At 40.4% G+C, this 12,503-nt stretch overlaps 1 long non-coding RNA gene across 1 annotated transcript; it reads right to left on the bottom strand.

Annotated features, from left to right (window-relative positions):
* Nucleotides 1-5,920: 5,920 nt before the first annotated feature.
* LOC124901297 (uncharacterized) lies at nucleotides 5,921-11,202 on the bottom strand. The gene is made up of 2 exons (XR_007059540.1): nucleotides 10,829-11,202; nucleotides 5,921-6,233 (listed from the first exon to the last, which is right to left on the bottom strand). It is a non-coding gene; the product is annotated as an uncharacterized LOC124901297 (long non-coding RNA).
* Between the last annotated feature and the right edge of the window lie 1,301 nt (nucleotides 11,203-12,503).

The following is a 12,503-nucleotide window of genomic DNA, read 5'->3' as shown; positions in this document are numbered from 1 at the left end:
CATTGTGAGAATAGTAGGACTTTAATAAATACTGGCTGGTTTTATTAAAAGCCACAACCTTCTCTCTGTGACAGTGCAAATGTTACTAATGTCTATAAAATCAGCTTCTCATTGTGGAAATCCATTAGGAACCTGGCAAGGACAGCCCATGTCAGTCAAAAATATCCCGGTGACTGAAGACATTATCTGTAACACACTTTTACCTCATCTTAAGATTTTTACTTATATGTTCTTAAGGCAGTGCAAGATACATGATAATTTTATTCTCAATCTGTGGGCAAAAGGTAGTTGAGTCAGAATGGCAAAAGAGTTGAAAGCTCAAAACATCATTGCATGTATCAGTCTTTGCACCAGACTTCCTTGAAACACAACACAAAGAAAGGCATGGATATCTCTAGGACACTTAGAATAAAGGCGAGTGGTGTCTACCACAGAGAATTATGTTACCATGATTGGGAAGGGTCTTTCAAGATCATCTAACCTACATCATTACCTCTGGGTTGCATCATGTTAAGTAATCAGAATGTCCAATTTGTTTCCAGGGAACCTTGAAATAAATATCAAGTATTTTTAGTGATTCCAAAAATCCTTCTTATCCTTTGAAACTTTTGAATGAAAATTTGCTTATTATATCTCCACACATAAAAAAGTCAGTGGGAATTTTTTAATTGAAAAAGAATCAGTGGTATTTGAGGTTTCTTTTGATATATGCAGGATGCATAAATAAGAAAAGGTTTAAGATAACAGTGGAATCACCATTCTCTTGTCAAGGGATAAGTTTATTTACTGATAATGCAAAAAAAAAAAAAAAAAAAGAATTGATAAATGAACTGGCACCAGTGCCATATAAAAGGTGAAGAGGAGTAGAGGCTGTGAAAATAATAGAATAAGAAGGAAGAGCTGCTGAGTCAATTACTGTTATCAGCTATGCCCTTCAGATAACCAAATATCTCCTACTATTGACTTGACTTTCACTTATGAGGAAACTATGTTCTCTGCACTATGCTAGAAACAAAGAAGTGACATATACATTTAATCATTTCATATCATAATATTATAAAATTACAATAAGCACTGGGATTACCAATAATAAATTATATCTCTGCTTTTTCATACACATGACAAGCTGAAATAATGACTCAATATTATGAGTAATGATTATTACTAATGATTAATGCTAATCATACTATTAATGATAACTGGCTTACATTCATTAGATCCTTCCTATGTTTCAGGCACTGTCCAAAATCTAGATGTGTATGCACTGGCTCATTGAAGTCTCACAATAATTCCCTTTTTTATAAAACAGGTTTTAAAAACAGCATGGTACTGGTACCAAAACAAATATATAGACCAATGGAACAGAACAGAGGCCTCAGAAATAACACCACACATCTACAACCATCTGATCTTCCATGAACCTGAAAAAAACAAGCAATGTGGAAAAGATTCCCTATTTAATAAATGGTGTTGGGAAAACTGGCTAGCCACATGCAGAAAACAGAAACTGGACCACTTCCTTACACTTTATACAAAAATTAACTCAAGATGGATTAAAGACTTAAACATAAAACCTAAAACCATAAAAGATTTAGAAGAAAACCTAGGCAATACCATTCAGGACATAGGCATGGACAAAGACTTCATGACTAAAACACCAAAAGCAATAGCAACAAAAGCCAAAATAGACAAATGGGATCTAATTAAACTAAAGAGCTTCTGCACAGCAAAAGAAACTATCATCAGAGTGAACAGGCAACCTACAGAATGGGAGAAAATTTTTGCAATCCATCCGACAAAGGGCTAATATCCAGAGTCTACAAAGAACTTAAACAAATTTACAAGAAAAAAACAACCCCATCAAAAAGTGGGCAAATGATATGAACAGACACTTCTCAAAAGAAGACATTTATGTAGCCAACAAACATGAAAAAAGCTCATCATCACTCATCATTAGAGAAACGCAAATCAAAACCACAATGAGATTCCATCATACGCCAGTTAGAATGGTGACCATTAAAAAGTCAGGAAACAACAGATGCTGGAGAGGATGTGGAGAAATAGGAATGCTTTTACATTGTTGGTGGGAGTGTAATTAATTCAACCATTGTGGAAGACAGGGTGGCAATTCCACAAGGATCTAGAACCAGATCCAGAAATATCATTTGACCCAGCAATCCCATTACTGGGTTTATACCCAAAGGATTATAAATCATTCTACTATAAACATGCATGTACATGTATGTTTACTGTGGCATTCCACAATGGTTGAATTAATTTACACTCCCACAAGGATCTAGAACCAGAAATATCAGCAAGCATGCCTGGCTGTGTGCAGTATCCAGGCTGGTAATGTAAGCTGAGCACAGGCTGCCAGGCTGAGTGGGCCAGTGGGCCTGAGCAAAACCCCAGCATAAGTGCCACTAGCCACAGAGGTTTTCAGCTGGTGAAGTGATAACCCAAGGATCCCGTAACATAACCATTAGAAAACATTGGACAAACCATGATTGAAGTGCATTCTGTAAGATACCTGAGCAGTACTCAGAATTATCAACATCATGAAAAACAAGATAACAGAGATTCAGGAAACTGAAACACATGACAACTAAAGGCAATGGAGTGTCCTGGATGGGATTCTGCAACAAAAAAAGGATGTTAAAGAAAATCTTGCTGAAATCCAAAGATAGTCTAGAGTTTTGGTAGTAGTAACATACCAATGTTAGTTTCTGAATTTTGAAAAATGTACCAGAGAAATGTAACATTAAGTGAAAGTGAAACTGGTTGAGGTGTATATGGGAATTCTTTGCCATCTTTGCAACTTTTCTGTAAAGCTAAAATTATGACAAAATAAAGCATGTATAAAAAATGTGTTACACAGATGGGAAGGGACAAGATGTCCAATTAGTTGCAGCCAGGAAGCACTGCTTTCACCGAGAGAGACCAAATTATTGAGTTAATCAACATAAATTGGTTGATTTAATCATCTCAGCCCAAAATCTCCTTAAGCTGATAAGCAAATTCAGCAAAGTCTCAGGATACAAAGTCAATGTGTGATCTTAGGAGAGAAAACACTGAGTGTATGGAGAAGCAAAGCTGAAGCTGAGGCTGTAGAGTCAGAAATCTGGAAACCCTGAAGTGGTACCTGAATGCCAGGGCTAGTTCCCAGCCCCAGATGGCTCCTGGGAAATTGGTGAGCCAGGGAACTGAGGGACAGCTCACTCTTGTCATGTACCTCTGGGATCCTAGCTATGAGAGACCCCATATCCCCCATAAATGTGTTAGCTGGCAGGGGTATCTCCCTGGGGAACAGGCAGAGACAGTACTTCAGACAGTGCAGAGCCTGGGAGCTTTTGTGTGCTGGGCAGCTTTGGTGGAGGGTAGCCATAGACACACATCCCTGAGAGCTTCCCATCTCCCTCTGCAAGGCTCTTGACTCAGCTGACTGTCAAGCCAAAGGAGAGCAGGGCTGGCTTCCCTATGGGACTAAGACACATCTGTTCTGCAAGCCCTCCTGCCTGCAGGCTCCTCTCAGGTCCTATGCCTAGCTGCCCTGGAGAAGCAGGTGCATTGTGCAGCTTGCACAGCCCAGCTGAATGCCTTGCTTCACCTGAGTACTTTCCCAGCAACCCAGAAGCATATCAGATCCCACAGTGCAGCCAGAGCCCAACCCTGAGCTGCAGGATGTCCTGGTGCTACCTGGGTTTCTAAGCACAGCTTGGGATTATCAAGCCAAGATATGTGACCCACACTAAGTTAGGTGAGTTAGCTTAATAAAAAAAAAAAAAAAGAAAGAAAAGAAAAAAATTCCATCCAATATCCCTGATGAACATAGAAGGAAAAATCCTTGAGAAAATACTAATCAAACAAATCCAGCAGCACATCAAAAAGTTAATACACCACAATCAAGAAGGCTCTATTTCTGGCATGCAAGATTGGTTGAACATCTGCAAATCTACAAATGTGATTCACCACATAAACAGAATTAAAAGGAAAAGCCATATGATCATCTCAATAGATGCTGAAAAAGCTTTTGGTAAAATCCAATATCTCCCAACATACTGCAGTATGTTTACTGTGGCAGGTGTGTATGAGGGAGCAAGTGTGGGGTCCAGCTACTGCACACAGCCAGGCATGCTTGCTGCAGCAGGGCAGGCAGTTCCAGGCACTGACAGGGGTGCCATCTCCCTGCAAGTCTGCGGCTGGACCAGGTGTACTGCAAGCAGCTTCCGCACCAGGAACCACAGAACCACCCAAAAGGGTGTCACAGCCCTGGCTCAGGGAGCTCCTAGGTCTGGGCTCCCCAAAGAGTTGCATCTCTTATCTCCTTTATGTCAACCACAATGAGGTGAGGAAAGGGCATGTTTCAGCCCTGTTTGTGTGACAGCTCTTTCAGCCATGCCATTCAGTGGGTCCCAAGTTCTTGTCCCACACTCACGAGGTATGTGGATAAGTGGAGGGTGAGTAAGGTGAAGAGGAGCTTTATTGAACAATAGAACAGCTGAGAGGAAACCCGCTCCTCTCCATAGCCAGGGTGTCCTAACGAGTGTTCAGCTCTCCGCAGAGAGGAGACCCTGGAGTGGGTAGCTCCTCTCCTCAGACAGGTCATCCCACAGAGTGTTCAGGTCTCAGCAGAAAAGAGACCCTAGGGTAGGTAATTCCTCTCTGCAGCTGGTTGTCCTGACATCTTTTTGTGTCTGGCTGAGTCTGGGAATTTTTATGGACTTCAGAGGAAAGGAAGTGCTTGCTGATTGGTCCTTGGGCAGCCACGGGCAGGCTTGGAAAAAGCATCGTAAGTCCCCACTCCAGTCTGCGAGGCTGGCAGCCCGTCTCCCAGGCTTCAATCCTTCCCTGAGTTGAAGGTGGGGCCTCACCGGGGACCCGTCCCTTTCTGCCCAGGAGCCTGTGGGCCTCCTGCCACTGTTGACGGTGCCCAGGCTGTTCCTGCCAAGAGGCACCTGCAGGCCAGCGCCAAGCTGCCCTCAGCAGCACCCCCTCCAGCCTCCCTCCCTTGCTTACTGGTGCCCAAAGCCCAGAGGGGGCTGAGGTGGCAGAAGACTGGCATGTCAGTGCTGCCCCAAGTGTGGGCACACCAGGCCAGGTTGCAATAGCACCTGGGCCTGGCCTCAACCACGCTCCGAGATCAGAGCACGCACCAGGAGCAGGGAGAGATCAGACACCAGGAGCAGGCACCTCCAAGCCTGCGGGGGCAAAAAGGGCTTTCCCAGGCCCCCAAGAGTGCAGAGATGCCCGGGTCTGCCGCTGCAGCTTGGGCATCTGCAGCTGCGCCCAGGAGGGCAGGGCTCTTACTCCTGGCACCCAAGAACACAGGGATGCCCAGGTTTGTAGACACAGCTTGAGCAGCTGCAGCTGCACCAGGGAGGGTGGGGCTTCTGCCTGCTCCTGAACCCCAAGCGCACAGGGATGTCCTGTCCACAGCCGCTGCTGGGCAACTGCAGCTGAGCCTGGGGAGCACAAGGCTCTTGCCCTGTCAACTCATAAGGGGTTGGGGCTTCCGCCTGTTCCCGGCTCCAGGGGCTCCACGGAGCGCACAGCCACACCTGCATCTCCCCTACTACAGCCGGCATCACAGTCCAGATGGGTTTCAGCTGCCATCAATTACACTGGGCCTTTGAATTTTTGCAGAGGAGACCACAGAGGTAAAGTGCCCTTTTTATCCCATCAGAGCAGGGGTTACATAATATCTACATGGCATCACTGATGGTGCTGACTTTAATCACTTGGTTAAGGTAGTGTTTTCACTAAATAAAACTGAAACTTACAATTGTTACCTGTCCATACTCTATTCCTTGGAAGACAGTCACTGAGTCCAGCCTACACTTAACAAAGGAGATCATGAGCTCCACATCTGAAAGTGGGGACTATTAATAGACTAGTAAGGAAGATTTCTCCCTTCTTCTCATTTATGTATTTATTCAATCATTTATTTATAAGAGTATGGACTCATACGTTTTATACTTCAGGTTATAATCCAGTGATATGTTATTTATTTTGTTGTTGAAATTGCTCCAGCTTTACCCATTGAGAGCTCTTTCAAGTTAGCTGCTGGGTCCCTTGGACAGGTCTTCATCCTTTTGTTATCCTTTTCTCTTCAGGGCCCCTCCCTGATTTCTGGTATTACTGGTTCTTCTCCAGGCTTCTCTTATATATTTCTTCACCAGGCTTAGAAATATCTTATAATCAGACATTTCTCCAACGATCTCTGTTTCTTTTCACTGGAAAATGGCATTAGAAAACATTATCTGAGTGTGACATGTGCACATTGCTATGAGGGTAACATTGTTTCTAGGCTATTTCAGCAGAAAGGGCTAGGTAATGTGTGTCTACACAGTAAGCCCTGAATACACACATATCTGTCGTTGTTTCCTTATTTGTCCATCTGTGTGTGTCCATGTGCATTTGGGCTTGTGTTTAAACATGAGGTCATAGTGATAACTCTGACTCTAACACAGTCCCTAATGGTCATTCTGGCCTTCCTTTCTTGCTTCTCTGTAACTTCTCTTACCAACAGGGAGAAACCTGGATGCCACTGTTCATATTTTAATATTTTTGTTCAACTGGTATGCATGTGAAGCAATTACAGAATTAGCTGAACCCGCATGAGAAACAAATTTACTATTCAGAATACCATATTTATGCAAAGTTACTTTTGTCTACAGTCTGACATTTTTTAATCAAAACATTATTTCTCAAGGTAAGTTAGGCCACTTTTTACTTCTTCTCTACCCTTTTCAGTGTTGTTAGCTTACATATTTATATAAAGTGAGGTTGATTTGCCACTGTCATACCATTCTAGGATCTTCCCACATCTTGGTGATATTTTTGCTTGTTTATTTGCATGCATTTGAGTGCAATTTTGTGATACACTACTTAGGGATTAATAAATCATGGACTTGTGTATTACTAGTGCAGCACCATACAAAACAACTCCATCATTTAAAAATTCCCCTGTGTGTCTTCTTTGTAATAAACTAATCTCCCTTACACTAAGCCCTGGATACCACTGATGTGTTTCCATCCCAGTGGGTTTTTTTTCCCCAGATGTCTTATGAATGAAATCATACAATATTCAGACTTTGAAGTCTGGCTTCATTCATTTAGTAAAATACCCTTAACATATATTCATGTTGTTGCATGTATCAGTAGCTCATTCCATCCCATTGATCAATAGTATTCATTGATCAATCAACTTCCACAAAATCATAGATCATTGTGTGGAAATACCCAAGATTATCTTTCCCCTGTTGAAGGGCATGGGTTGCTTACAGTTTGGAGTAATTATGAATGAAACTGATATAAACATTTGCATGCAGATTTTTACACGGACCTAAGTTTTAATTCACTAGGGTAAATACTTAGGAATGTGATTGTTAAGTCATATGGCAAGACTATATTAAACTTTATAAAAATTGCCAAATAGTCAAAGTGGTTGCACCACTTTGCATTTCTACCAGCAATCAAAGAGAGTTTCCCTCACTTTGCATTCTTGCTAGTATTTATTATTTTCAGTGCTTTTGTTTCAGCAACAAAAAAAAATTGTGAGAATTTATTTTTAATTTTGTTATATAAGTACTTTCATAATACTCCAGTTTTGTGTCTTGGTTTACAAAGCCTTAATATTGACTACGTAGCTTTTTATAGGAAAAAATACTGGTATCTGGACTTTCATATAGATTTTCTTAAATCAGTGAGATTTCCATCAGTCAACTTAACTGTAAATCAACTATTACAAGGTTTTTTAAATGTGGGAAATCATGTCTTTGATAAGAACAGGTCAGTTTTTTCATTTTTTTCTCTAAGAATTTTTGTTTTGTGTGTGTGTGTATCTATCACTTAATGTGCATTTGAAAACTTTCTAATTAACTTTTTCTAATACAAATAATCTATGAAACTTTATTCCATTTTCTCAATACAGTTTAGAAATTACTTGAACATTTGGTTAAATGTTCTGAACCTTACTTTCAAATTACATTTTCTTACTAGACAAATGCTTAGACAGTGTGGCGATTCCTCAAGGATCTAGAACTAGAAATACCATTTGACCCAGCGATCCCATTACTGGGTATATACTCAAAGGATTATAAATCATTATACTATAAAGACACATGAACACGTATGTTTATTGTGGCACTCACAATAGCAAAGACTTGGAACCAACCCAAATGTCCATCAATAATACACTGGATAAAGAAAATGTGGCACATATACACAGTGGAATGCTATGCAGCCATAGAAAAGGATGAGTTCATGCCCTTTGCAGGGACATGGATGAAACTGGAAACCATCATTCTCAGCAAACTATCACAAGGACAGAAAACCAAACACTGCATGTTCTCATTTATAAGTGGGAGTTGAACAATGAGAACACTTGGACACAGGGTGGGGAACATCACACACCAGGGCCTGTCGGGGGGTGGGGGGCACTGGGGGAGGGATAGCATTAGGAGAAATACCTAATGTAAATGACGAGTTGATGGGTGCAGCAAATCAACATGGCACATGTATACCTATGTAACAAACCTGCACATTGTGCACATGTACCCCAGAACTTAAAGTATAATTTTAAAAAATGCTTAATTCATGCCGAATATGTTCAGTGTGATTTTTAAAGGCTTCAAGATTCAATGTTATTCATACAACCTAATTTCTATTTTATTTCTCTCTCCATGAAGAGTCTTGTAAGAGGCCAGGCACGGTGGCTCACACCTGTAATCCCAGCACTTTGGGAGGCCAAAGTGGGAGGGTCACTTGAGGTCAGGAGTTTGAGACCAGACTGGGCAACAGGGTGAAACACTGTCTCTACTAAAGATACAAGAATTAGCCAGAATTGGTGGTGCATGCTTGTAATCCCAGCTACTCGGGACGCTGAGGTAGGAGAATCACTTGAAACCGGGAGATGGAGGTTGCAATGAGCTGAGATTGCACCACTGCACTCCAGCCTGGGCGACAGAGCAAGACTCCATCACAAAAAAGAAAAAAAAAAGTATTTTAAGAAGCATAAACAAATCAATCACCTTTGACTGAACATTGATTGGTACTTGTTCTGATTTGATCCAATTCTAAGTCCCAGCATCCATTTTATCTTCTCCAAGTATAGTAGGGAATATTCATCAACTGTTTACTCAGTTATTTGATTTGATTTCTTATCACTTAACACTTAATCCAAGGATATAAATATCCTTTTGCCCAGTGGTAAACTTGTCATCCAATCCTTGAGTTTCTTTTGCAAACACGTTAGGTTTTTCTCAAGATTGAAATGCTCATCCAAACCCAATTTTTTTTTTTTTTTTTGCTGTCTTAAGTTGTTTTTTTTCCTCTTCTGACATAGTTTTAAGGCTATTTTGGCATTAGCTTCTCACTATTTAAAAGACTTCAACACATCTTCCAGTAACGGAACCCATATTCTAAACCTAGCCATGAATGTAATTCATTCTGAACTTTAAGGTGTTCTTTTTTTTTTAAAGATGACATATAAATGGCCAATAATCATATGAACAAATGCTAATCATAAGAGAACTGCAAATTAAAACCACAGTGAGATATTATGTTATGCCAGTCAAAATGGCCATTATTAAATTCAGAAAAAAAAAATTTTGCCGAGGGTATAGAGAAAAGGATTACATACACTATTGGTGGGAATGTAAATTAGTACAACCTCTGTGGAAAACAGTATGGAGACTTTTCAAAGAACTAAAAATAGAGCTACCATTCGATCCAGCAATCCCATTACTGGATATCAAGCTAAAGGTAAAGAAATCATTATATCAAAAAGAAACCTATGTGTCTATGTATATCGCAGCACTATCCACAATAGCAAAGTAATAAAATCAGCCTGAGTGTCCATCAGTGGACTATTGGATTTCTAAAATGTGGTATACATATATACACACTTTAGAATACTACTTGGCCATAAAAAGACTGAAATCATGTCTTTTGCAGCAACGTGACTGTAACTGGAGGCCATTGGCTTAAGAGAACTCAGAAACAAAAAGCCAAATGCTACATATTATCAATTATAAGTGGGAGCTAAACAATGGGTACATGTGGATATAGAGTGAAATATAGGCATTGGAGACTCCAAAAGGTGGGAGGCTGGGAAAGGGTTGAGGGATGAAAGACTACCTACTGAGGACAATGTATTTTATTTGGATGATGGATACATTGAAAAATCAGACTTCACCACTATGCAATATATCCATGGAACACAACTGCACTTCTACATTGTAAATCTGTAAAAATTCGCATTTTTCAAAAACATTCCTTTTTTTCAAAGCATCTATTTTGAACTCAAATTTCCTATACACTTAGAGGATTTAATGCCTTGTTCTAAGGGCAGGACTCCATGAAAAATAATTTATACTCTTCATACTCGTTTTTTTTTTAAGAGACAAAGTTTCACTCCCATTGCCCAGGCTGTAGTACAATGGCGTGATCTCGGCTCACTGCAACCTCTGCCTCCCAGGTTCAAGGATTATCCTGCCTCAGCCTCCCAAGTAGCTGGGATTACAGGACCTGCCACCATGCCTGGCTAATTTTTTGTATTTTTAGTAGAGACGGAATTTCACCATGTTGGCCGGGCTGGTCTCAAACTCCTGACCTCAGGTGATCCACCCGCCTCAGCCTCCCAAAGCGCTGGGATTACAGGCATGAGCCACCACACCAAGCTCATATTCTTTTTTAATCAGCCTAATTTATTAAAACATTACATTTGTCTTCAACTACAGAAGAAACTTCTCTGGTAAACTCTTTTTTTTCTCTCTACATAAAGTGGGCTTTTATAATTACAAAATCCAAATAGAGCCGCACTTACCACCATCCCCCATGTTAAGCCATAGAACTCTGATGTGAGTCTCATGTCTCCTTGCAACATTGACGTGGCCTCAATCAGCTTCTCCAGGACCTCTATAAAGTAACACCTCATAGCAGTAAGCAGGTCCTCCATAGCACCAGATCTGCCTTTGGTTGCCAAGACACTATGATTCTACAACAAACTGCAGAGAACACTAGCAGTGTTCTGCTTGGAACCTAAATCTGCACCTAGCAACCAGGACAGCACATCAGTGGGATGCCAATGTGGGAGGATAGATGGGGCTTTCTAAACATTTTCACTATTAGCACATGAAAAATGGGAAACTACAAGGCTCTTGTTGATCCAAGGAGACTGGCCACAGAGACTGTATTCCTTCTAGGCACTAACAAGCAACCCTAAAGTATGAGAGAATTAATGTCATTTCATACATGTGCAATTCAGGAATTACTAGGAACGTGGCAGTAAAGAACTTACATGCCCATATCAATAGTCAAAGTCCTCTTAATGTAAACGTGTCTTTCTGAGGCTCTGCTAGACCTAATACTATTTAAAAATTCAAAGGTTCCTCACCTCAGCATCCCATCTTGTTTTGTTTTGGGTTAGATGAGGGGGATAAGCATGAGAGAGTTGAATTATTGTCATTAAGTTATCGATTTAACTTTCAAATGTAAAAACTCATAAAGGTTTAAGGTAATTTGGGGTTTAGGTTTTTTTAACTTTTATTTTAGGTTCATGGGTATATGTGCAGGTTTGTTATACAGGTAAACTGCGCATCACAGGGGTTTGGAGTACAGATAATTTCATCATCCAGGTAATAAGCATAGTACTCAATAGGTATTTTTTCTGATCTTCTTCCTCCTCCCACCCTCCACCGTCAAGTAGACCCCAGTGCATGTGGTTCACCTTCTAGTATCCATGTGTTCTTATGTTTAGCTCCCACTTATAAGTGAGAACATGTGGTATTTGGCTCTTTTCCATTTAGTTTGCTTAGGATGATGGCCTGCAGCTCCATCCATGGTGCTGCAAAGGAAATGACCTCATTCTTTTTATGACTGCATAGTATTCCATGGGGTCTATGTACCACATTTTCTTTACCCAATCTACTGTTGATGGGCATTTAGGTTGATTTCATGTATTTGCTGTTGTGAACAGTGCTGCAATGAACATACTCGTGCATATGTCTTTATGGTAGAATGATTTATATTCCTTTGGGTATATACCCGCTAATGGGATTGCTTGGTGGAAGAGTAGTTCTGTTTTAAGTTCTTGGAGGAATCATTACACCATTTTCCACAATAGCTAAGGTAATTTACATTCCCACCAGCAGTGTATAAGCATTCCCTTTTCTCCATAACCTTGATGTATCTGTTATTAATAATTTGACTTTTTGATAATAGCCATTCCACCTGGTACGAGATGGTATCTCATTGCGGTTTTGATTTGCATTTCTCTAATGATTAATGATATTGAGCATTTTTTCATATGCTTGGCCGCATGTGTACCTTCTTTTGGAAAGTGTCTGTTCATGTCTTTTGCTGACTTTTAAACGGCATTGTTTCTTTCTTATAAATTTGTTTAAGTTCTTTCTAGATGCCAGATATTAGACCTTTGTCAAATGCATTGTATGCAGATATTTTCTCTCATTTTGTAGGTTGTCTGTTTCCACTGTTGATAG

Source organism: Homo sapiens, chromosome 6 (genome assembly GCF_000001405.40).
Source record: "Homo sapiens chromosome 6, GRCh38.p14 Primary Assembly".
In the NCBI taxonomy this organism is placed as follows: Eukaryota; Metazoa; Chordata; class Mammalia; order Primates; family Hominidae; genus Homo; species Homo sapiens.
The sequence above is the reverse complement of the archived record's forward strand: the minus strand, read 5'-3'. Positions and strand labels throughout refer to the sequence as shown.